Source organism: Homo sapiens, chromosome 17 (genome assembly GCF_000001405.40).
Source record: "Homo sapiens chromosome 17, GRCh38.p14 Primary Assembly".
NCBI lineage: Eukaryota > Metazoa > Chordata > Mammalia > Primates > Hominidae > Homo > Homo sapiens.
Genome location: NC_000017.11, coordinates 9,477,822 through 9,504,835, shown reverse-complemented (window position 1 = coordinate 9,504,835; position 27,014 = coordinate 9,477,822). Strand labels below are relative to the sequence as shown.

General features: G+C 43.6%; 1 protein-coding gene across 4 annotated transcripts in view; it reads left to right on the top strand.

Annotated features, from left to right (window-relative positions):
* Positions 1-27,014, top strand: part of STX8 (syntaxin 8) — a 325,350-nt gene that overhangs the window by 70,985 nt on the left and 227,351 nt on the right. For all 4 annotated transcript variants that reach the window (NR_033656.2, XR_934120.3, NM_004853.3 and 1 more), the window contains one exon: positions 12,915-13,007. Coding sequence is in view for 2 of the 4 variants with exons in the window: in NM_004853.3 (NP_004844.1) it covers positions 12,915-13,007 (93 nt within the window). In the remaining 2 variants the exon portion in view is untranslated. The remainder of the gene's footprint in view (positions 1-12,914; positions 13,008-27,014) is intronic.

The window sequence follows — 27,014 nt, the reverse complement described above, 5'->3', positions numbered from 1 at the left end:
TGCCCGGCTAATTTTTTGTATTTTTAGTACAGACAGGGTTTCACCCTGTTAGCCAGGATGGTCTTGATCTCCTGACCTCATGATCTTCCCACCTTGGCCTCCCAAAGTGCTGGGATTACAGGTGTGAGCCACCGTGCCCGGCCACCAGATTTTCTACTGGAGCCTTGTTTGTTCCTCATCCCCATTGAAAATTGGAGTGAAAACTGCTGGTCTTTTAAAGCTTTTGGTGTGTGCCTCAGGATACCTGAGGAATAGACAGTTGCTGTCACTCATCTCGGTGGCTCATGGAAGTGGTGATTTTCCATTGGGCAAGAGCAGAGAGAGCAGATCTGAATCTAAGTCCAAGCAAATTTGATGCTTATGCTCTTTACTTTAGCTTCACGACTGGGAATTAGTCTCCAAACACAAGACTCCATTTTATTTTTTAAATTATAAAATATGTCAGTTTGGCTTTTCTTTTTTATCTTTTGCCCTGTGGCTTTTTAACTTTTTTTTTTTAAACTTTCTTATATTTTTAAAATTTCAGAAGTATGCATGATTGTTATACAAAGTGTAAACAACATAGGAATGTATAAGATGAAAGCCCTCCATATTGTTTCTCCAATCTCAAACTGGAAACAGATTAATATGTATTTCCTTAGACCTTTTGTATACATTCACATACATATATTCAATATAAATATACTTATTTTACATAAATGGAATCATGAGATATTTAGCTCTCTCCATATATATATATAATTCCACACCTTTTTAAAACTTAGTATGTGTCGGCTGGGTGTGGTGGCTCACGCCTGTAATCCCAGCACTTTGGGAGGCTGAGGCAGGAGGATCACCTGAGATCAGGAGTTCGAGACCAGCCTGGCCAACATGGTGAAACGCCGTCTCTACTAAAAATAAAAAATTAGCTGGGTGTGGTGGCACGCACCTGTAGTCCTAGCTACTCAGGAGGCTGAGGCAGGAGAATCGCTTGAACCCAGGAGGCAGAGGTTGCAGTGAGCCGATATAGCATGTCACTGCACTCCAGCCTGTGCAACAGAGTGAGACTCCATCTCAAAGGAAAAAAAAGAAAAAACCACTTAGTATGTGTTATGGACTTTTTAAAATGTCAGTATGTACAGATACATTATTCTTTCTAATTCTGCTTTTTAAAATCAGCTTTATTGCCAGGCCTGGTGGCACATGCCTGTACTCCTGACACTTTGGGAGGCCAAGGCAGCAGGATGGCTTGAGTGTAGGAGTTTGACACCAGCCTAGGCAACATAGTAAAATCCCATCTTTAAAAAAATTAATGAATAAAAAGGAAGAGGGAGGAGGAGGAGGAGAAAATAAATCTAAAGTCAGCTTTATTGAGATGTAGTTGATATGATCATAAATGGCCCATGTTTGAAGTATATGATTTGATAAGCTTTGACATATGTATATGCCTGTGAAACCATCACTGCAATAAAAATAATGAACCTAATTGTTATTCCCAAAAGTTTTCTTCATGCCTCTTTGTAATTCTTCCTATTGTTCCTCCCTGCCATGCCCAGACAACTGCTGAACTTCTTTCTGTCACTATAAATTAGTTTCCATTTTCTATAATTTTATATAAATAGAACTATACAGTATGTACCTTTTGGGGAAGAAGGGGCTCTGGCTTCTTTGTCTAAGCATAATTATTTTAAGATTCATTGAACTGGTTATGTGTATCAGTATTTCACTCTTTTTTTTTTTTTTTTTTTTTTGAGACAGAGTCTGGCTTTGCTGCCTAGACTGGAGTGCAGTGGTACGATCTCAGCTCACCACAACCTCCACCTCCTGGGTTCAAGCAATTCTCCTGCCTCAGCTTCCCGAGTGGCTGGGATTACGGGCGCCCGCCATCATGCCCAGCTAATTTTTTTTGTATTTTTAGTAGAGATGGGGTTTCACCATGCTGGCCAGGCTGGTCTCGAACTCCTGACCTCAAGCGATCCACTCGACTCGGCCTCCCAAAGTGCTGGGATTACAGGCATGAGCCACCGCGCCCGGCCTGCATTTCACTCTTATATTATAGATTTGTATTCCATTGTATGGATTTACCACAATCTGTGTATCCATTCACCTGTTGATTAATATTTGGGTGGTTTTCAGTTTTTGACTGTTACAAAGAAAGCTGCTATTAGCATTCATGTATAAGACTTTGTATGGACGTAAATTTGCATTTTTTCTGGGGTAAATACCTACAAGTGGAATGAGTGAGTCATATAGTAGCTGTTTGACTTTTTAAATTTAAAACAATTTTTAATTTGCAAGTAAAAATTATATTTATGGTTTGCAATGTGTTGTTTCAAAATATGTATACATAGTAGAATGGGCAAATCAATCTAATTAACTTATGTATAAGCTCACATGCATATTTATTTATGGTGAGAACACTTAAAATCTACTCTCTTAGCAATTTTTAAGTATATTAGTTACCCTGTTGTACAGTCGATCTTTTGAGCTTATTCTTTCTGTCTAACTGAAATTTTGTATTCTGTGACCCACATCTCCTCATCTCTCCCCCAAACCCCAGGGCTGGGTAACCACTCCTCTGCTCTCTGCTTCTCTGTTCATCTTTTTCAGATTCTGCATATAAATGAGATCATATGGTATTTGCCTGGCTTTCTTTGCCTACAAATCCCAGCAGTGGGATTGCTAGTATCACTTTTAATTTTTTGAAGAACCTCCATACTGTTTTCCATAATGGTTGCAGTAAATTTACATCCCCACCAACAGTGTGCAGGGATTCGCTTTTCTCCACATTCTTGCCAACACTTGTTATCTTTTTTCTTTTTGATCATAGCCATTCTGACAGGTGTGAGGTGACAGCTCATCATGTTTGGTTTGTTTGTTTGTTTTTTGAGACAGAGTCTTGCTCTGTCGCCCAGGCTGGAGTGCAGTGACGCAATCTCTGCTCACTGCAAGCTCCACCTCTCAGGTTCACGCTATTCTCCTGCCTCAGCCTCCCGAGTAGCTGGGACTACAAGCACCCACCACCATGCCTGGCTAATTTTTTGTATTTTAGAGATGGGGTTTCACCGTGTTAGCCATGCTGGTTTCGATCTCCTGACCTCGTGATCCGCCTGCCTCGGCCTCCCAAAGTGCTGGGATTACAGGCGTGAGCCACCGTGCCTGGCCTGTTTATTTTTTTGAGACTGTTGCCCAGGCTGGAGTGCAGTGGCGTGATCCTGGCTTACTGCATCCTCCGTCTCCCAGGTTCAAGCGATTCTCCTGCCTCAGCCTCCTGAGTAGCTGGGATTACAGGCATGTACCACCATGCCCAGCTAATTTTTGTATTTTTAGTAGAGATGGGGTTTCTCCATGTTGGCCAGGCTGGTCTCAAACTCCTGACCTCAGGTGACCCACCCACCTCGGCCTCCCAAAGTGCTGGGATTACAGATGTGAGCTGCTGCGCGTATGGGCCTATTTCTGTTGTACTCTCTGTTCTTTTCCATTGGTCTATTTGTTTATCTTTATACCAATGCCTCACTGTATTAATTATTTTACCTTTATGATGGGTCATTAAGTAAGATAGTACAGGTCATCCAGCTTCGTTTATTTTTACAATTTTATTGGATATTCTAGGTCTTTTGCATTTCCATGTGAATTCTAGAATCTGTTTTTAATTTTACAAAAGAAAGCTTCCTGGGCATTTGATTGGGATTACATTGAATTTTTAGATTAGTTTGAGGAGAATTGATATTTTAACACTATTGAGTCTCAAATTCTCTCAGCAATGCCTTTTAGTTTTTGCTATACGTGTCTTATATATCTTTTATCCTATTTATCCCTAAATAGTTCATATCTTTTATTTTATTTTATTTTTTGAGACAGTCTCACTCTGTGACCCAGGCTGGAGTGCAGTAGCGAGATCTTGGCTCCCTGCAAGCTCTGCCTCCTGGGTTCACGACATTCTTCTGCCTCAGCCTCCCAAGTAGCTGGGACTACAGGTGCCCGCCACCACGCGCGGCTAATTTTTTGTATTTTTTTAAATAGAGACAGGGTTTCACCATGTTAGCCAGGATGGTCTCAATCTCCTGACCTCGTGATCTGCCCGCCTCGGCCTCCCAAAGTGCTGGTATTACAGGCGTGAGCCAGCACGCCCGGCCTTCATATCTTTTATTCTAAGTAGCATTTTTAAAATATCAATTTCTAATTGTTGCTTGTATATCAAAATACAGTTGATCTTTGTATATTGATCTTGGATCATGCAGCCTTGCCAAAGTCACTAATTTCTGAATGACACTCAGCTCGAGACTCAAAGTGGCCCCTGTGCAGATCTACAGAGTACTCTCTGCAGTCCTCTCTGGTCCTGTGCCCTACATCCTCTAACCACCATGGCCTCTTGGGACTTTTCTCAACTCGAGGAAAATGCTGGGTTCCACCTGTGTTCTCCCATCCCCACACCATGGCTTGGGAACTCTTATGAGGTAGTAATCCGGGGCAGTCTTAGAACTCACCTCATTTGTTTCCCGTCTCTCAGGGATCACTGCCCTTCATTTCCTGATGTCCATGTCTTAAAACTGTTGTTTCGTATATTTACCCTGTTTTGTTTTGTTTTTCCAGTTGTTTCAGTCCAGAAGGAAGTCTGGTGCCTGTCAGTCCATCTTGGGCAGAAGCAGAAATCTGATTCTATTTCGAATTCCCTTTTCACAGTGAAATTATTGAGTCAGTGAAACACCGTGACTCTCTTACATCTTCAGTTTTACATACTTCACCCATTACCATATTTGGAGGAAAGTGAAAAAAATGAAAAACAACACAGCTTTACATGCAGCACAACCATTCGCTCTTCAGGACTCACATTTCCTGAATGGAGCACCTTATAGCTAATACTCATGCATTTTCTGGCATTGTTGCATTTTGCCAAGAAAAGCTGTTTTCAGTCGGGAAGAGTATGCTCGTCCCGGAGAAGGTGCTATTTTCAGGGGTTGCTTTAGGTCAGTGTGAGAGGATGCTCCTCAAAGTGTTTGTCACAGTCTCCAAAACAGAGCTTCCTTATGAAGATTCTCACCCTTGGGAAGCCTGCTGGCCTGTGGGGTGTGGGTGGAGTTTGCGGGGAGCGGCAGCGCAGGTTGCAGGTCAGTTTCTCTCCACTGCTCTTACCTTTGTGTTTTGAAATGCTATGTTCCGGCTGGGCGTGGTGGCTCACGCCGGTAATCCCAGCACTTTGGGAGGCAGAGGCAAGCACATCACAAGGTCAAGAGATCGAGACCATCCTGGCCAACATGGTGAAACCCCATCTCTACTAAAAATACAAAAATTAGCTGGGCGTCCGTGGCGGGCGCCTGTAGTCCCAGCTACTCGGGAGGCTGAGGCAGGAGAATGGCTTGAACTCGGGAGGCGGAGGTTGCAGTGAGCCGAGATTGTGCTACTACACTCCAGCCTGGCGACAGGGCAAGACTGCTTCAAGAAAAAGAAAGAAAGAAATGCCATATTCCTCTTTGCTAGCGAGCTGTTTTTCAAGGACAAATACAAAAAATGGAAGTAATCTTCACACAGAACCCTTATTAGCCTTTTCTCTGCCTCAAGAATCTTGACAATGTGCTGAAGTTGCTATGGCTTTGTTTGCGTCCTTGCCAGGTCCTGCATTAAATGAAAATAAAGAGCCACAAAAGGTCATTTCTGACTTCCTTTAGCCCGTGGAATCCCTTAGCCATTCTGCACTCTAGCTGACCCTTAGAAACTTTGAAAATCATCCCAAAATTACAGTTTACTGGTAGAACATAGACTGAAGGGCAGGGAATGCCTTCCTTGCCTAACCTAGAAGTGAAGCCTCATCGTAACAAATTAGCCAATTTGGCTTCTGTGCCCCTTCAGCTGTAATTTGAAGCATGAAATGGGCATTAGGCAGAAGATGGGTGGGTGATGACAATCACTTAATTGCCTCAAAGATCCCTGAGATAGAAGGAACAAGGGTACTTGTTTCTTGTTTCAAAATGCTTTGGTTATTATACACCCTTGTCCCTGAGTGGGATCGCAGACCTTGGAGAAGTATGAAGTGTCATTCCACCTTCACCCAGGAGGTCTTTCTTGATGGGGTTTCTTCATCAGCTTCATCTAGTCTTATGAATTTTCTATAGATGTTCTTTCTAGACTCTAGCAGGAAATTGTGCAATCGTTCTAGATTTCTGCGTTCTTAGGTCTCTTGGTGTTTGCATGTGAAATGGGGCTGTAGAAGGTGGCTAGCCAGACTCCATTTCACACTGGGGAATCTTAGTAGCTAACCTTTGAACCCTTGCAGTCACAGCTTCACAGAAAACTTTCTTTGAAGATACCCTTTCTTGTAGCTGTCACCTAGACTAGAAGGATTCCTTTCCTAAAATCTTAAAACAAAAATAAAAACATCTATTCTTAAACTTGCTCTGAGTCTTCTAACATAGTGATTAACTTTTTATCTAGCTTGACCTAATTTTTCTTTTCTTTTGTTTTTTTTTTTTGAGATGGTGTCTCACTCTGTCACCCAGGCTGGAGTGCAGTGGTGCGATCTCAACTCAATACAACCTCCATCTCCTGGGTTCAAGTGATTCTCCAGCCTCAGCCTCCCAAGTAGCTGGGACTACAGGTGCATGCCACTGCATCTGGCTAATATTTGTATTTTTAGTAGAGACAGGATTTTGCCATGTTGGCCAGGCTGGTCTCGAACTCCTGACCTCAGATGATCCCCCCCCACCTCAGGCTCCCAAAGTGCTAGGATTACAGGCGTGAGCCACTGCACCTGGGTGACCTGATTTTCTTCTCTTTCATTCCTACCTTCCTTTATTGAGGGAGAGCTCCTTCTGTATGTTAAATGTGAAAGGTTCATTGCTTCTCTGTGGGCACTGGACAACACAACATCAACTACTTTTTTGACTGTGTAAACTCAGAGGGCTCTCTAGTATTGGCCAGGAGTCTTTCTGTCTAGCAGAGACTGTATTCCTTTCTTTTGTAAACCTAGAGGGCCCTCCCTCTGTGGTCATTCATTGATTTAAACAAGTGTTGTACATTTCAGTCCTTGATTTAAATATGTTGGTGCTCCGTGCCACTAGCTGGGCTCAGATCTGGGGCAAAGACATAGAAAAAGAAGAAGTCTCATGTATGTCAAAGACACAGGAAAAGAAGACAGTCATTGGGGTCTGGATCTTGTACTCAATCCAGGGACTGTAGTTGCAGCTCTTAGGGATGTCCCTCTGTTGTATTGTTAAAATATTGATAACTTTTTACTATGGAAAATTTCAAACGTGTAATAGTAGAGAGTGTCAGATAATGACTTTGTCCTACTCATCCTCCAGCCTCAGTGATTGTCAACCCATAGCCAATCTGTTCACATGTATATGCCATCCCGTAACCTACCCATCCTACCCAGCCCCTAGGTTATTTTGGGAGCAAATCCCAGACATCGTATCATTTCATCAGTGGATATTTGAGAATATATATCTGAAATATGTTTGGAAAAGATAAATACTGTTTTGGAAAACTATAGTCACATGCCATTATCATCCTTAAGAAGTTAACAATATTTCCTGAATCTAATCAAATACTCAGCATTCAAGTTTCCCTGATTGTGCTGTGATGTTTTCTTTTAGGTAGTTCAATTCAGGATCTAAATATGGCCCATACATTGCAACTAGTTATGTCTCTTAAGTTTCTTTAATATACAGGTTCTTTTTCCAACTCTTCCTTTTTCTTCTATGCAGTTTCTTCATTGAAACTGCATTTGCCCTTTAGTTTCCCACTATCCAGATCTTGCATTTCTGAATGTCTACAGATAGGAAATATCCAAACACCTAATGGTTTCAAGGGGATTTTTAAAAAATGATTGTATTAGTTTTCTATTGCTGCTTTAATAAATTAGCACAAACTTAGTGACTTAAAACACATTTATGATCTTACAGTTCTGTAGGTGAGTAGTCCAATGCAGGTCCCACAGGGCTCAGATCAAGCAGTTAGCTTGATTCTTTTCTGGAGGCTCATTCTGGAGAATTCGTTCCCTTACTTTTTGTAGCTTCTAGAGGGCTCCCACATCTCTTCTTTCGTCTTCAAAGCCAGTAAGTTATCTCTCTCTGACCCTTCTTCATACTCCCTCTGATGGCAGCTGGGAAAGGTTCTCTGCTTTTCAGGACTCATATGATTATACTGGATCCACCTGGATAATCCAGGCTAATCCCCCGTCTCAGATTTTTAACCTTAATCACATCTGCAAAGTCCCTTTTGCCATGTAAGGGAACATATTCATAGTTTCTGGGGATTAGGATATGGACATCTTAAACATGGGGGATATTATTCTATCTGTAACAATGATCCATCCATTTTTAAAAATTCAAATCATTGTAAAATAGAATAATGACTGATAGAGTGTGGTATGTTACAATTGCCCTCTTGTGATATCATCATGACTTGGGTTATGTGAAAGAGTAGGGCAGATTTTGGCAGTTATGACATGATGGTAGTTTTGTTGGTAAGAAAGTACATGGTGGCTGGGTGTGGTGGCTCACGCCTGTAATCCCAGCACTTTGGGAGGCCGAGGCAGCTGGATCACCTGAGGTCAGGAGTTCGAGACCAGCCTGGCCAACATGGCAAAACCTCGTCTCTACTAAAAATACAAAAATTAGCTGGACATTGTGGTGGATGCCTGTAATCCCAGCCACTGGGGAGGCGGAGACAGGAGAATTGCTTGAACTTGGAAGGTGGAGGTTACAGTGAGCCGAGATCATGCCATTGTACTCCAGCCTGGGCGACAAGAGCGAAACTCTGTCTCAAAAAAAAAAAAAAAAAGAGAAAGAAAAAGAAACTGCATGGTATGGTTTCTTCTTCTTTTTTTCTTTTTGAGACAGGAGTCTTGCTATATTGCCCCTGGCTGGACTTGAACTTCTGGGCTCAAGCAGTCCTCCTGCCTTAGCCTCCCGAATAGCTGAGACTACAGGCGCACACCACCATGCCCATGCATGGTTCTTGATTATTTATATTTTTGCAGTCAGCAGCATTGTGTTTTGATCATTGTCTCTAAGATAGCCATACCACCTTCCCCTTAGAAATGCCTCTTCAGGACTTGGGGAAGCCCAGGTTATGAATGTGATTATTATTACCTCTACAGCATCTCGATTATCTGAATCTTCTGTGTCTTTGGATTGTGTAATGAAAATTTACTGCAGCACTTAAAGATGTGGAGAGAATTGCTAAGCTTATACAAATTATTAGAGGGGAACAGAACTTTTAGTTCTCTTTCTCATGTGCATTAGATGATCATCAGGTTGCTAAATCAGATAATGAGTCAAGTTTGAGATTAAAGAGTGTAATTAGTGTATTTTTCATTCATAATCTATGTCTCTACTAGATAAAGCAATTTTAGGAGTTTAATGACTCTTTTCCTAATGGAAACTGTGGAGGAATTGCCTTTCCTATTTTTAAATGGTTTTATCTTTTAATCCACGTTGACACTCAACCCTCAGTCCTATATATATAGATTATTCATCAGATGCATTTAGAATTTTACTATAACATCAGTCATCCTATAGGAGCACTTGGTTGAGGATGGATTTATCTTGGAGGCCATCCAAGAGGTTGTTATTAAAGACCAAGAGGACCTCATTATAAAGTGATTTTACTATAAAATGGTCCTTGTGAATGATCCCTAAAGACGGCAGGTCATTTGTATAGTTAAAAAAAGTACAGTGTGTCAAACAATGTCACAAAGGGGTTGTTACCTCACACCGTTAGTTTAAATAAATTCCAGATGAATTAAAGAGCTAAGTTTGATGATTTAATTCCATAAAAAGACTTGGAAAAAATATAAGTAAATGTTAATGCGACCTCGAGTAAGACCTTTGTGATTTTTGCTTTTGTAGATAAGCCTTTATGTGAAACAGTCATTTCAAAAACCCTGTAGACAAATGAAGCTGCGAGGGGTACAATGTTACCTTCATGCGGCGTGTTCCGTGGTGAACAAGAGTCATTACACTCAGCTTCACAGTGTTCTCAAAGCACCTGAAATTAGAGGAAGAAAATTTTTACAAAGACATGACCGAGACCCCCAGTTCAAAATATACATATTAAATTTTAAAGAAAGGATCGTGAGTAACTTGAGTTTAACTCACCTTTTTCTTTAAATTTTCAAAAACTAACTTTGCTCTTTAAATTTGCAAAAAGTTTCAAAGTAATACATTTTCATTTTTAAAACAAAAGCTGTTGTACTATACTTTGTTTTGTATCTTTTTTTTTTTTTTTTTTTTTTTTTTGAGACAGGTTCTCACTCTGTTACCCAGGCTGGAGTGCAGTGGCGCCATCTCGGCTCACTGTGACCTCTGCCTCCCATGCTCAAGTGATCCATCCACCTCCGAGTAGCTGGGACTATAGGCATGCGCCACCACACCCAGATAATGTTTGTATTTTTAGTAGAGACAGACAGTGTTGCCCAGTCTGGTCTCAAACTCCTGGGCTTAAGTGATCTGCCCGCTTCAGCCCCCTAAAGTGCTGGGATTACAGGCGTGAGCCACTGCGCCCAGCTTCCTGCTTTTTTACTTAAGAACATATCATGGGGGCCGGGGGCGGTGGCTCACGCCTGTAATCCCAGCACTTTGGGAGGCCGAGGCGGGCGGATCACGAGGTCAGGAGCTCGAGACCATCCTGGCTAACACGGTGAAACCCCGTCTCTATTAAAAACACAAAAAATTAGCCGGGCGTGGTGGCGGGCGCCTGTAGTCCCAGCTACTCGGGAGGCTGAGGCAGGAGAATGGCGTGAACCCGGGAGGTGGAGCTTGCAGTGAGCCGAGATCGCGCCACTGCACTCCAGCCTGGGCGACAGAGTGAGACTCCATCTCAAAAACAACAACAACAACAAAAAAACAAAACAAAAAAAAACAAAACATATGAACTTCTTTCAACATCAAAATATAGATAAACAATATGATTTTCAGTGGCTATACAGTGTTTTACTATGTGGATATACTATAAATTTATAAACATCTCTGTGTTTGGGCATTTAGGTACTTTCTAATTTTTCACTATTATAAGTATATCACTATGGGTCTGATCAGGAGAGAGAAATTTGACAGGGAAAGTTGAATGTAAATTATTAATTTTAACAGGGATTAGAGTAACGAGGGATTAGCTAACAAGAGGTCAAAAGAACTCTCAAAACAGAACTAGCAGGGATAAGGTGCAATCACCAAGTCTCAGGCTGAGACAGAATGTCCAGGGAGGAGCCCACGCCCCTAGGGCTAAGAGAAGGCTCAGCTGAGGGTCCCTGAATTTCACAGAAGCCCCCGTGGTGCCCTGCTGTCAGAACCTCCTGGAGATCTGCCCTCTGGGATGCTGGGGGAAACTCTTCATGGGGAAGAACCTCCCTGGAGGCGCTCTTGTTATAAACCTGCCCGAGGAGGGGGTGTGCTGGGAGAAGTTGCTGGTTCTGGGTATTGCTGGCCACTGTGCACTGAAGGGGCCAGGCACTGAAGGAGTTGCAGTTGCTGAAGGAGCCTGCCAAGATTGCAGGCTGGAGCCAGGAAGCAAAAACTCTGACAAAGGAAAAAGTATTCAAGCAGCCTTGGTTCATTTTCTTTTTTAAAAAATTTTCAAATTATTTTTTATTTAGAGACAGAGCCTCTCTCTATCACCCAGGCTGGGGTGCAGTGGCGTGATCATGGCTCACTGCAGCCTCGAACTCCTGGATGATCAACCAATCCTCTCACCTCAGCCTCCCAAGTAGCTGACACTACAGGTACATGCCATCGTGCCTAGCTAATTTTTTTTTTTTTTTTGAGACGGAGTCTCACTCTGTCACCCAGGCTGGAGTGCATTGGCGCAATCTCAGCTCACTGCAATCTCCGCTTCCTGGGTTCACACCATTCTCCTGCCTCAGCCTCCCCAGTAGCTGGGCCTACAGGTGTCTGCCACCAGGCCCAGCTAATTTTTTTTTGTATTTTTAGTAGAGACGGGGTTTCACTTTGTTAGCCAGGATGGTCTCGATCTCCTGACCTCGTGATCCACCCGCCTTGGCCTCTCAAAGTGCTGGGATTACAGGCGTGAGCCACCGCGACTGGCTGCCTGGCTAATTTTTTAAAGAAAATTTTCTAGAGGTGAGATCTTACTTTTTGATGCAGGATGGTTTTGAACTCCTGGCTTCAAGTGAACCTCCTGCCTTGGCTTCCCAAAGTGGCTGGGATAACAGGCATGAGCCACTGTGCCCAGCTGGTTCATCTTCATAGAGCAGCCAAAAAGAGGGAATTTGTTGCTGAGAGGCACTAAGTTGATATCTGGCACAAGAAACAAATGTTTCAGGGAATATCCTTGTATATCCATCATTACATGCTATCTGAATATTTTCTTACATACATTCCTAGACTTAGAATTGGCAGGTAAAAAGGTGGGCACAGTCTACACTTGAGAAATACGGCCGTCAGTAAAACTTATTCACCTATTACATAGTACTTGGGAGCTTCTAGATCGTCACAATTTAATTAACCTTAGGTATTGTCATTCTTTTTAATCCTTATACATCTGATAAGCCAAAAAAAGTAGTTTTTTATTTGTATTTTTAAAAAAATTAGTAGCGATGTTAAAACTTTATTTTCTTTTTTATTGTGAAGTTCTTGCCTGTATCCTCTGCTGATTTAAAAAATTGGGATATTCAGTCTTTTTCTTATTGATTTGTACATGCTCTTTATATATTAAGTATCAGAAAGTTTAAATGTTCATGTTTCCAAATCTTACTTTGTTTTTCATATTTAAAATCTTAATTCTTTTGGAAATCGTTTTAGTTTAAGGTGTCAGGTAGGTGTTTAGTTTTTAAATTTTGTTCCAATAATGTTAACTCTTTTCTCTTTTTTTTCCTGACTGATTTATATGTCAACTTGTGTTATATGCCTGGGTATACTTATGGACTTTAAGTTGTTTTCTTCTAGTTTCTAGTTAATTATTTTTCTTTTTTCTTTCAGAACAGGACGCAGGCCTTGATGCCCTTTCCTCTATCATAAGTCGCCAAAAACAAATGGGGCAGGAAATTGGGAATGAATTGGATGAACAAAATGGTAAGAATAAGTCTGGGATTGACCAGATTTGCCGTTGACATAAATACTAAAGGCTTGAGCATTTGTTGAATGAGTTTAAGATTATACAACATGTAAAGTGGTTTAATGTCAATGATTGTTACAGTTTAACGCATTGGAGTGGGGGTTGTGGCAGATTTAGATGATAGTTGTTAAATACTATGCAAAGAAATTTGGTGAAAAATTTTCCAGTTCTCAGTAGCTGCTTTTAACAATACTGTGTTTTATGATCCATTCATCCCAAGAGCTTTTCTTCTATGTGGCAGTGATATGAAATTGCTCAGCACTTTGTACACTGAGGCTGTGTGGGCCTCCTGTCATCCCCACACCCGGTGGAGTTTGCTCTTCTTCGATCCTATGTACCAGGCTTCAGGGCAAAAAAGGGTTTGAAGATCTTTGTTCAGGGTTTGATGTGACAAGTCTGGTTGGAAAAAGATGAATTTGCAAACTGCAAGCAGGGTGGATTGGGGAGTGTTTAAGACGTGTAGGCATCTGCAAGGCTCTTGGCTTGAGGAGGGCCTGGATGGGTTGTAGGGGCAGAAAGGGGGAAGAAATACGGGGGCACGGGATTGCCAGTGATTTTACGTTAAGGATGAAGTTGGGAAACTTGAGAGCAGACACTGGTTTTTGGGTGAGATGGTAAGTCCAGTTTGCATGTGTCTAATTAGAGATGCCGGCGGGAGATGTCCAGTTGACAGTGGGAGACAGGGTACCAGAGCTCAGGGAGAGGGCGGAGCCAAAGAGAAGAGATGGGAGCAGCTGCAGTGTAGAGGTGACGTGTGACAGCGTGGAGTCGTTGAGTGGCAGTGAAGCTGGCATTTATGGAAAGCCCCCACTATGTGCTAAGCCCTTTCATCTATGTCATTTCATTTCATCTCCACACAACATCATGAAGGCGGCACCCTCCTCGTGTGAGAGGCAAAACTCAGAGTGGCTGCAGGGCCCCCTGAGACCACATCGCTTATGAGTGACAGAGCTAAACTCCAGCTCAGGTCTTCTGATTCTAACGTGACTGCTTTTGCTGCTAAACTGGCTTCCTCTCTAAAGAAGACAAAGTAGGAAGAGAAAAAGAAAATGTAAAGTATTCTATCTAAGGTTTCAGCTTTTAGTAATAACACGATGGAATGGCTTTCAAGAAAAGTTATCAGGTGGGTGCGGTGGCTCACACCTGTAATTCCAACACTTTGGGAGGCTGAGGCAGGCGGATTACAAGGTCAGGAGACCAGCCTGGCCAACATGATGAGACCTCATCTCTACTAAAAATACAAAAAATTAGCTGGGCGTGGTGGCCCACACCTGTAGTCACAGCTACTCGGGAGGCTGAGGCAGGAGAATTGCTAGAACCCAGGAGGCGGAGGTTGTGGTGAGCCGAGATTGTACCATTGCACTCCAGCCTGGGCGACAGAGCAAGTCTCCGTCTCAAAAAAAAGAAAAGTTATCATGTATGAGCAAGCATCGAAGCCCTGGGGATAGACGAACACCTGCTTTGAAGAGAGGGCTGCACTTCTCAGAATCCTACAGCAGACACTTCTATTCTCCATCCTTGGGAAGAATGAGTTAATTTGTTCCTGCAGTGCTGTTCCATTTATCTGTCATAAATCAATTCCATCTGTTTATCATCTATCATAAATAAATAGATTACTAAATCCAATGGAGAAGCCTTCTCTCTTTACAATTCTAATAGTTTCAGCACAGAGAGGACAACTTAGTTCTTTCCCTGATGGTACCAACACGAACAGGCTAATTTATGTATTTGCATATAATTCAGTTATTGGTCAGTTCCTTCCTTAAGTGATAGTATTGATAAGAAAGTAAGCTTTATAGGCCGGGCACGGTGGCTCATTCCTGTAATCACAGCACTTTGGCAGGCTGAGGCGGGTGGATCACGAGGTCAGGAGTTTGAGACCAGCCTGGCCAGCATGGTGAAACCCTGTCTCTACTAAAGATACAAAAAATTAGCCAGGCATGGTGTTGTATGCGTGTAATCCCAGCTACGCGGGAGGCTGAGGCAGGAGAATCGCTTCAACCTGGGAGGCAGACGTTGCAGTGAGCCGAGATTGTGCCACTGCACTCCAGCCTGGGCGATAGAGTGACAATCCATCTCAAAAAAAAAAAAAAAGGAAAGTAAGCTTTATAGAAAATCTGCCTATCTGGTGTACAATTGTTCCTCATCCCAAGGACATTTAGCCTATTCGATGGGTGAGACTAGAGAGGACTCTAGCCACCAAACTGATGATCATGTGTTGTGATATACGTGCAGGTAAGCTGCAGTGTCTGCGGGTGGATGGCTAACAAGTGATGGTGCTTTACATGCATAATTTGGTGGGATGATTTACTAAGTTCCCATATGAAAGCACCGTTTCTTTGTCCAGCATAAGGCAATCAAGCCGCACGTCTTTATCTTGTCTTTCGTCTGGTTTAGTGGTTATCATACTTTGCTGCATATTAGAATCACCTGGGCTGCTTTTAAAACTCCAAGAGCCCAGGCCATACCTGTGTTAGTTTTCTTTTTTGTTGTTGTTTTCATTTTTTTTAATTTGATTTTTAAAATTAGCTTCCTCAGGTTGAAGTGTGTTAGTTTTCTGTTGCTGTTGTAACAAATTACCACCAGTTTAGTGGCTTAAAACAACACAAGGCTGGGTGCAGTGGCTCACGCCTGTAATCCCAGCACTTTGGGAGGCCGAGGTGGATGGATCATTTGAGGTCAGGAGTTCGAGACCAGCCTGGCCAACGTGGTAAAACCCCACCTGTACTAAACATACAAAAATTAGCCGGGCGTGGTGGCAGGCGCCTGTAGTCCCAGCTACTTGGGAGGCTGAGGCAGGAGAATCGCTTGAACCCAGGAGGCAGGGGTTGCAGTGAGCTGAGATTGCACCACTGCACTCCAGCTTGGGTGACTGAGCGAGACTCTGTCTCAAAACACACACACACACACACACGTGACCGAGCGAGAGACTCTCAAAACACACACACACACACACACACACACTCTCTCTCTCTCTCTCTCTCTTTCTCTCTTAATGTCTTACAGTTCTGTGGGCTAGAAGTTTGATGTGAGTCACACTGGGCTAAAACTAAGGCATGGGCAGGGTGGCTCTTCCTTCTGGAGGATGTAGGGGAGAATTCATATCTTTGATTTTCCAGCTTTGAGAGGTCCAGCTACATTCCTTGGCCCATGACCCCTTCCTCCGTCTTCAAAGACAACAACAGTAGGTTGAGTGCCTCTCATATGGCATCACTTGTACCTCTGACTGCTGCCTCCCTCTTCTACTTTTAAGGACCCTTGTCATGACATTGGGCCCACCCAGATAATCCAGGATCACCTCCTCATGTTGAGGTCAGCTGATGAGCAACCCATATTCCATCTACAAGCTTAATGGCTCGTTTGCCATTTAACCTAACATATTCACAGACACCAGGGACTACGAGCTGGACATCTTTAGGGAGCCACTGTTCTGTCTACCACAGTAATTTTTTTTTTTTTAAGACAGAGTTTCGCCCTTGTTGCCCAGGCTGGAGTGCAGTGGTGCGATCTCGGCTCACTGCAACCTCCATCTCCCGGGTTCAAGCGATTCTCCTGATTCAGCCTCCCAAGTAGCTGGGATTACAGGCGCCTGCCACCATGCCCAGCTAATTTTGTATTTTTGGTGGAGACGAGGTTTCACCCTGTTGGCCAGGCTGTTTTCAAACTCCTGACCTCAGGTGATCTACCCGCCTCGGCCTCTCAAAATGCTGGGATTACAGGCATGAGCCACTGCACCCAGCCTACCACAGTAATTTTATACCAAGTGAATCACAACCTCCAGGGGTGGGGCCCAAGCATCAGTAGTTTTTGAAGCCACCCCTGATGATTTCAAGGTGCTGCCAGATTTGAGAAGCAGTGCCCTTGTTGAATATGCAGACAATGTATTTAGCGCTGTACTTTGTATTGGTTCTTATATGCTCACATTACAGGTCTAAATCCCCCACATGCACAGAAGCGCATCCACGTGGCGACGTGTATATACACAGCATCACAGTCACAGTCAGAGGTCCTTCGACTCGCACATTTTGCCCCTATCCCTTTTGCTGCTTCCCCCACACCTCCCCTGTCCTCATCTCCATCTCATACCCGGGTGGCTACATGTGTACATATACAAATAGGAGGTATTTTTCCATTCGTTGCCAGTGCAAACTTGGTTTTCTCTGTGGTGGCCTCCCGGAGAGAAGGCAGCTATGCTGGTGGTTTTCTAATGTGAACATTTGCTCCTCGGAGATAGGGCAGAGTCAGCCATTTTCAGTCACAGGAAAAGAGACTCTCTGAGGATAAAAAAGTATATCCCTGCCAAGACCATCATCAGCTTTTATTCCTTTTGTTAAAGCGAAAAAAGGCCATGATAGCTGTAGGTGTTAAGAATGGGGCTGCAGCCCCATCTGGATTTTTATTGTGATCTGAGTGATAGGGAGTCAGGGGCGCTGGAAAAGGGCAGCACATTGGCTGCAAGTATCTGCATGTGATTTACCGGCCTGCTGAATTTTGGTTTTCATTAAATGAGGAAAACAATAGGCTAGGTCATTTTGGAATCAAGTATCAAAATCTTACTAACAAAATACGTTGTACTTAGAGTATAACCACAAAGCTGAAAGGTCGAATTATCTTCAGTTTTGGAATTCAGTTTCTAATTTCCTCATAGAGAATTAAAAAGGGCCTGACCAACCCCAGTAATTACCCTGTTCCTATGCCAGTGACCAAGCCAAGCGAGGAAATGGATCAGCAGTTAAGTGAAAATCCCAGTGATGACAGACCCTAATGGCCACTGACTAGGGGCGTTGGCAAGTGGAACACTGAGTGGATGACGTCCCCTCATGCAGCCACAAATTCTAGTGCTCTTTAGTTCCAGGTGGCCTCTATGGGTGGGAGGGCACAAAGGGCTCATGACAGACCACCAGCACTTCTCCAGAACCCAGAGTTGTGGTTCTGGTCTCACTCTGTTGCCCAAGCTGGAGTGTAGTGGCACAGTCACGTCTCACTGCATCCTCCATCTCCCAGGCTCAAGTGATCCTCCCACCTCAGCCTCCTGAGTATCTGGGACTACAGGCCGGCACCATAGCACCTGGCTAATTTTAACTTATTTTTTGTAGAGATGGGGGTCCGGTCGCCCTGTGTTGCCCAGAGTGGTCTTGAATTCCTGAGCTCAAGCAATCCTCCCACCTCAGCCTCCCAAAGTATTGGGACTACAGGCTTGAGCCACCACCCGCAGCAGAGCTTTTTAAAAAGAACACCAAAACAAGAAAATGAACAGAATTGATGTTCTGAGACCTTTTGGCATGAGCCACCACAAAGAATCACATCACAAAGATCAGCATCACAAAGAATCATAGAGGCACGATTTGATGGATGACATCACACCAAGAACAAATCTCTGCTGGTGTGTGCAGGTCTTTGCCATTCTTTTGATGCTCAAATATCCCAAATTGACCAATCCTTTTGGATGTTTCCCTGACAATCTATGAGCAATTCCTTGCTTTCTGGAAGCATAAAATGTCCCAGGCTCTCCTTTTTCTCTATCCTATCCCTGGAATCTGCTGTTTCCTCAAGGATCCCTGGTTCCTTTTATTGGGAAATGCTGTTTGGAATCTAAGATCTTGGTGCATACTGTACTGTACCCATTGCCACTGGAGTGTTGTTACTTTTAGGCCGTTCATTATCACGATTCTTGATTTTTTATAGGTGAGTTATTTCCTTCTCTCTGGAACATGTTAGGATCTTTTATTTATGAGCATGCCTTAAAGTAGGTACATTTTCATTCACTGTTTTGGATGCTTGGCATCCCTTACAATCTAGAGATTCCATTCTGGGACATTCTTTTGTCATTTCCTTCCCTCTGTTTTTCTGTATTTTCTCTTGCTGCAACTCCTACTGGTCAGATTTAGAACTCCCGGATTGTCCGAGCATGGTGGCTTATGCCTGTAATCCCAGTACTTTGGGAGGCCAAGGTAGGTGGATCATTTGAGGTCAGGAGTTTGAGACCAGCCTGGTCAATATGGTGAAACCCCGTCTCTACTAAAAATAAAAAAATTAGCTGGGTGTGGTGGCACATGCCTGTAGTCCCAGCTACTCGGGAGGCTGAGGCAGGAGAATCACTTGAACCTGGGAGGTGGAGGTTGCAGTGAGCTGAGATCACGCCACTGCACTCCAGCCTGGGTGACAGAGCAAGACTCTGTCTCAAAAAAAAAAAACCAAAAAACAAAAAAACAAAAACAAAGAACTCCTGGATCAATCCTCTAAGTTTCCTAGTTTTTCCTCTGTGATACTGTCTAGTTTACTTATTGTTTTTCTTTCTGATTTGAACAACAGCAGGCATACATTTTTTTACCCTTTGAGGGTTATTTCCATTTTATTTATGAAGCAGAATAGGTATGTGTATATATGTCATAGAAGCCAGGCCCTATGCTTTCCTCTCCATGAATGCCTTCTTCATCTGCCCAGTTACTCCTTCCTCATGAGGTGAGTCCTGTCCTGTCCTGTCAGCTGTGCTTCCTAAAGATCACTAGAGTCTGTTCATACCTCTGGGCCACTGTCATCCTTGGCCTCGATTACTGCAATAGCCTGATACCTTGCCTTGTGTCTTATTTCCTTCTCAGCCTTTCTCTGCCTTGTATCAGTGTTGTCTTCAGAACACAGATCTTATTATAATTTTTTTTCTAAGCGACAAGGTCTTGGCATGTTGCTCAGGCTGGACTTGAATTCCTGGGCTTAAGCAGTCTTCCTGCTTCAGCCTCCTCAGTAGCCGGGACCACAGGCATGTGCCATCATACCCAGCTACATTATTAATTTTAAGTGGCCCTCCCAATGCCTTCCTGATAAAGTCCACACTAGTTCTCAATGATCTAGTCATTGCATTCCCTGTCACTAGAATTACACACCCCACCATACTGACTCACTTCAAGTTCATCAGTTGCACCAGAATGCTGGGCCTGGCCTCTGACACTTTCTCTTTTTTTGAGACAGAATCTTGCTCTGTCACCCAGGCTGGAGTGTAATGGCACGATCTCGCCTCATGGCAACCTCCACCTCTCGGGTTCAAGTGATTCTTGTGCCTCAGCCTCCCGAGTAGCTGGGATTACGGGCACGCACCACCATGCCCGGCTAATTTTTTTTTTTTTTTTGTATTTTTAGTAGAGACAGGGTTTCACCATGTTGCCCAGGCTGGTCTCGAACTCCTGAGCTCAGGCAATCTACCCACCTCAGCCTTCCAAAGTGCTAGGATTACAGGCGTGAGCCACCATGCCCGGCCCTCTGATACTTTCATTAAACTTTTCCCAGTGGCTGGAATACCTTCCCCCTCCTGCCAATTACTGTTCTTCCCTCTCTGCTTCCTCCTCCAACCCCCACCTCAGCATACATCTTGCTTTAGCTACTGCTGACTTTTTTTTTTTTTTTTTTGAGCTTAGGTTGGGCATCCTTTTCTCTTAAGAAATCTTCCCTTCTTTCATGCTCCCCTAGGATCCTGTATTTCCCTAGTCATAGCATCCGTCACTGACTGATTGACATTTACTTGTCTGTATTCTCCACCGCACTGGAACCCCCTTGAAGGGAGGCACTCTATTCTATTCATTGTTGGATCACTAGTGCTAACTCACATGGCAAATAGTGACTGATGATATTTGTTAAATTAATGAATATGAATAAGGGTTCAGAAACTGTTATTTTACATGTTTTTCCAGAAATCAAGATCACTACAGCTACCTGAAGTGAACATGTAGAAAATGTTTACTACATGGTTGCTAAATTGAATGAGAGCATTTTGTTTGTTTGGCATTGATGAAGATGACACTATTGCTCATGAAATAGCAATTCAGCCCCACTGTAGGAGCTGGCAGACATACGGAGATATCTTACCAAAGGGGGCCAGGCTCTTATTTTTGCCTAAAAGTACTTCCCATTCCCACCCTGCCTGTGCCCAAGATGCTGGATTATTGAGATCTGACAGTGTAGGCACAAGGGACCAGGCGTGCATCTCCTCTCTGCTTTGTGTGACACACCGGGAACCAGAGTGATAAGGAAAACCAATTGTATTCGTAGAGTCAGTCCTGGAATTGAGGAGACCAGCGTGTCCTTTGAACGTGCTAGAAAATATGACTGTGCTCCTTAAAGGATAAAATACGACTCTGCGCCTCCAAAAAAGGATCAGATAAAGATTTCACATACACATCAGTGATTTACCATGGTAAGGGGCTCTTAGAACTGCTCAGCTGAATTTTCATGTTAAAAGTTTAGAAGAACAGCGTGGTAGGCTGAATAATGACCCCCAAAGATATCCTAGTCCCGATCCCTGGAATCTATGAATGTTACCTTAAATGGCAAAAGGGACTTTGCAGATGTGCAAAGTCCAGATTGCCACGGTGGGTAGATTATCCTGGATTATCCCAGTGAACCCTAAGTGCGATCCCAAACGTCCTTACAAAGGGGAGGCAGAGGGAGTTTGAAACGGAAGATTGAAGCAGTGCAGTGACTGAAGCAGGATGCTACGCTGCTGACTCTGAACGTGGAGAACGGAGCCATGAGCCAAGGGTACAAGGAATGAAGCTCTAAAAGCTGGAATAAAGCCAGGAAATGGATTCTTCCTGAGAGCTTCTGCGGGGGTCGCCTCAATTTCAGTCCAGTGAAACTGGTTTCAGACTTCTGATCTCTAGAACTAAAGGGAGTAAATGCCTATTGTTCCAGGCTACTCAGTGTGTGATAATTTGTTAGAGTAGCAACAGGAATCTAATAGAAGTAATCATGGTGTCTTTTTGTGAATTGTCATTGAATTGAGGTTAGCCACCCTTTTGCTAAGAAATGTTTATAGTCATTTGTGTCTACAGCTCCTCTGAACTCTTGAAGAGATTTCTTTTTTGTTTTGTTTTGTTTTTTGAGACGCAGTTTCGCTCTTGTTACCCAGGCTGTAGTGCAGTGGCGCGATCTCGGCTCACCATAACCTCCGCCTCCCGGGTTCAACCCATTCTTCTGCCTCAGCCTCCCAAGTAACTGCAATTACAGGTGCATGCCACCACACCCAGCTAATTTTTGTATTTTTAGTAGAGACGGGGTTTCTCCATGTTGGTCAGGCTGGTCTCGAACTCCGGGTCTCAGGTGATCTGCCTGCTGTGGCCTCCCAAAGTGCTGGGATTACAGGCGTGAGAGATTTCTTAAAAGCAGACTTTACAGAAAGAAGTTTTCGTTGCTGGTGCACAAGTCACTATCAGAAGCCTCTCAAATGCCTCTCAAACTGTTTATTTAGCACTTTGATAATGGAATTAATCATGTACTGGTGAAATGTGAGGAAAGTTTGGTGAAGGAATTTCTTCATGTATTATCTGATATCAGAATTCCCCAAAGTATGCTAGGCAAATTTATTTTAGATAATATACAGAGAAAGATCTTGTATTTTAATAGTTGTATATTTCATTGTGTGATAGAAATAAAAATGGCTAGCATCTGAAAACTGATTTCTCGGCAATATAAAATTTCTTTATTCATTTAACTTGTATAAGCCAGAAAAATAGTACAGATGAAATATGAACGAGGCAAAAAAAAAATTCTGTAGGTGGTATTTGAAATGCTGAAGTTTGAGAAACATTGCTGTAAGACGATTAAAAAAAAATAGGGACAGGGTCTTGCTGTGTTGCTCAGGCTGGAATGCAGTGTCTATTCACAGGCTCGATCATGGTACACTGTGGCCTGGAGCTCCTGGGATGAAGCCATCCTCCTGCCTGAGCCTCCCAACTAGCTGGGACTATGGGCATGTCCCACCACGCCTGGCTTAGAAGATTCTTTTTGTTAAAGTCTAGGTTGCCATAGAACAGCGGTCCCCAACCTTTTTGGCACCAGGGACCAGTTTTGTGGAAGACAGTTTTTCCATGGACCAGGATGGGGGGTAGTTTCAGGACGAAACTGTTAAACCTCAGATCACCAGGCATCAGATTGTCGTAAGGAGTGTGCAACCTAGATCCCTCGCATGCACAGTTCACGATGGGGTTTATCCTCCTATGAGAATCTAATGCCACTGCTGATCTGATGGGAGGTGGAGCTCAGGCAGTAATGCTCACTTGCCTGCTGCTCACGTCCTGCTGTGTGGCTCGGTTCCTAACAGGCCATGGACTGGTGTTGGTCTGCGGCTTGGGGTGGGGGACCCCTGCTATAGCATACTTCATTTTTGGTTCCATCCTAGTATGATGCCATGTGGTTTAATATGTGACCTATTCCCACTTGACCCTCCTGGTGATAAGAGCACATGTTAGACCAGGGGAGGGGTTGGAAGATCTATTGAAACAATGCCCTCCAGCCTGTGAGCTCAGAGCTGTGTAACGTAATGGCTATGGCAGGAGTGATGTTGTCTGATGCTACACCCCTAGAATTTAAGTACGTTTGCCTTTTGAAGGAAGCAAGACAGTTAGAAACCGCTGTCCTTTAAAGGAAATATGGAATGATTTGAAGTGGAAGGAGTTCCTGTTACTCTTTGGCAGGTGGAACGTGAGCAGGAAGACACGCTCATCCACAGCCCAGAGCTGTAACCCGGAAGAGCTATGCTGAGGACTTTGGGTGCACTTCCTGGTGGCATGAGGCACTTTATGGGTCAAGCAGTCTTTTAGAAATTGGCATAGGAGGCCGGGCACGGTGGTTCACGCCTATAATCCCAGCACTTTGGGAGGCCAAGGCAGATGGATCACGAGGTCAGGAGATAGAGACCATCCTGGCTTACATGGTGAAACCTGTCTCTACTAAAAATACAAAAAATTAGCCAGGTGTGGTGGCGGGTGCCTGTAGTTCCAGCTACTCGGGAGGCTGAGGCAGGAGAATGGCATGAACCCAGGAGGCGGAGCTTGCAGTGAGCTGAGATCATGCCACTACCCTCCAGCCTGGGCGACAGAGCAAGGCTCCACCTCAAAAAAAAGAAAGAAAGAAAGAAAGAAATTGGCATAGGAACCTAACACCTGCCCCCTCCAAATGTGGAGTATAGACACACATTGATGTCAGATGAGGAAAGGGTTTTCTCTACGTGGCTGTGTTAGTCTGAATTCAGGTTTTCTTTATTGAGATTTCATTCAGCGGACTTTGGCTGGCTGCTAGGATTCATGGAGTGGCTTCTCAAGTCTGCATTTCATTCATAAATAAACTTGCAAGTTGCTTCGTCTCAGAGAATTTTGGACCAGAATGAGTTTATGAGGTCATCCTTCTCCCCTACCCCATGCCATCTTTCCATCTTTTGGAAGGACTTCCATTTAGTGATCTGTGACCTAGAGAGTCACCTGTACTTTCTAAGATCTTCCCGGAAGTTGATGTGCAAAATCAGCAGCAGTGGCAGCAACTCACCTTTCTGCTGTCCACATTTGTACACATCTGTTTGAACATTTTACTGACTAGCTCCGTAGCTATCCTTTAATCTAGATTAAATAAACTTTTTCTTTTCCTAATAAGAAAAAGTGTTATTAAACATAGTAAGGTATTTTTCCTAAATCCAAAATAATATATTTCCTTCCTCAGTACATTCTCCAAATTGTTTATTCGTTAAACAAATGTTGAACTCCTATTATGTGCTAAGCACTGTGCCAGAATCCACATATACATGTCATGTCTGTTGTCACGGCTCCTTCCCCTCCTGGAGTATTTGTTCTCATCAGGGAGGCAGCTGCTGGACAGATACTGCACAGATACACAGTTAGAGACGGTGATAACACAGGGACCTATTCGAATGTGAAACAGAAGAACTGGCATGGTTTGAGGGTTAGAAAAGCCTTTCCTGGGAAAATGATATTTGAACAGATTGAAAAGGATAAACAGCAGTTACCTGTATGAAAAGCAAAGGGAAGACCCTTGCAAACAGAGGGAAGGGCATAGGCAAAGGGCCTTTACGCAAAGGAGCGTAACATGGTTGAGAACCTTGAGAGAAGGCCAGTCAGTCAGTGTACCCAGGGTCTAGAGAGCATGGGCAGGAGGGGGCCAGGAGAGCTGGCAGGAGGGGGCCAGGAGAGCTGGCAGGAGGCGGGGGTTAGGGCTTGTGGTGTCGGTGTGACCATCACCCTATGCTATAAAGTAGAGTCAGTGGTTTCAATGTAAAATTACTTAATTTGCTACTTATGGATTCTGTAATTTTGTCTATATAATTTACTGAAAATCAGGGAGACATAAAATTCTCCCATGCATATAATTTATATATATTATATATAATTTATAAAATACATCTATACTTAAATTTAAAATACATGAATATATACTTAATATATATTTATATATATAATACATGTATATTATGCATACTTTATCTATAACATGTATTCCCAGGCTGGAGTGCAGTGGCACGATCTCAGCTCACTGCAACCTCTGCTTCCTGGGTTCAAGCGATTCTCCTACCTCAGACTCCCAAGTAGCTGGGATCACAGGCATGTGCCACCATGCCCAGCTAATTTTTGTATTTTTAGTAGAGATGGGTTTTCGCCATGTTGGCCAGGCTGATCTCAAACTCCTGACCTCAGGTGATCCACCCACCTCAGCCTCCCAAAGGGCTGGGATTGCAGGAGTGAGCCACCGCGCCTGGCCTATATATGGTATACTATATATTAAGTATATATATTTTTTCATTGTCCCACAGCCAATAGCATATCTAAACTGAGAGAGTTTAGCCACTTTTGGGGAGAAGAAATAGCCATATTGGCAAGGGGGTGTTTATCCATTCAACAGGTGTTTACCAAGTACCAGCTGCATGTGTGACTGGTCCCCTAGATAGTGAAAAACAGCAATAACAACTAAAAGTCCCTTCCTTTATCATTCCTACACTCTAGTGTCGGGAGGGAGACATTCAACAAATACATCTCAAAATAAGGTATTTTATCAGATTTTAATAAGTACTGTCAAGGAAAAGGACAGGAGGCTGTGGAAGGGATGGTGAGGAGGCAGCTGCTGCAGCTTCAGGAATGGGCCGAAGGGAGCTGATGAGGAGGTGGCCAGTGAAGAGTCGCAGGGAAAACGGGGATATCTCCTGTGAGATCTCAGAGGCTACAGAGAACTTTGCAAGCTGGAGAAATCAAAAGGCTTTATATTTCTGCATAAATGTATAATGTGGCTGGAAAACAGCAAGTGACAAGAATCATGTACCCAGATGAAGTTGTGGAGGGGTCATGAGACAGGACGCAGAGGGCTTCACAGTGTGAAAACCTCACAGGCCCTGAAAACTATAAGGTATTTATATTTTTCTAGGAAGGACTTTGTTTTTTTAGTCACAATCAATAGTCTCAGTCAGGAAACATTTATGCTAATAGTAATTTGGGACAGGACTAGGGCTCCATGCTAATGTATACCGTTTCTCCTTTGCATGTATACAAAAGACCGTAAGTCGGCCTTCAAATAGCATTTCAGGGCTGGGCGCAGTGGCTGGAGCCTGTAATCCCAGCACTTTGGGAGGCCAAGGAGGGCAGATCACCTGAGGTCAGGAGTTCGAGACCAGCCTGGCCAACATGGCGAAACCCCGTCTCTACTAAAAATACAAAAATTAGCTGGGTGTGATGGTGCACGCCTGTAATCCCAGCTACTCAGGAGGCTGAGGTAGGAGAATCACTTGAACCCGGGAAGCAGAGGTTGTAGTGAGGCGAGATTGCACCACTGCACTCCAGCCTGGGCGACAGAGCTAGACTCCGTCTCAACAAAATAAAAAAAACTGTTCTCATATTCTTAGCTGAGCTTGAAAGCAACAAAGGGAGTTCTCCAGGTGCCAGAAATGAAGAAACTTACCTACACCAGTGAGTGAGTGAAGCCTCATGGCCCTCAGAGATAACCAAACCACATATGTAGCTTAGGGACCTGCATTTCCACACCCGTGTGGATATGGGAGTTGAGGTTATAGGGCCTACGCATTGCAGGCAGCTGAAAGTGGGCTTTCCAAATAAAGCTAGAAGCTGGGAAATGACAGCTTTATGGGAAAATTTCCCCCTTCCCCACCCAAGAATGGGATACTCAGGCCACCCACCTTGGGC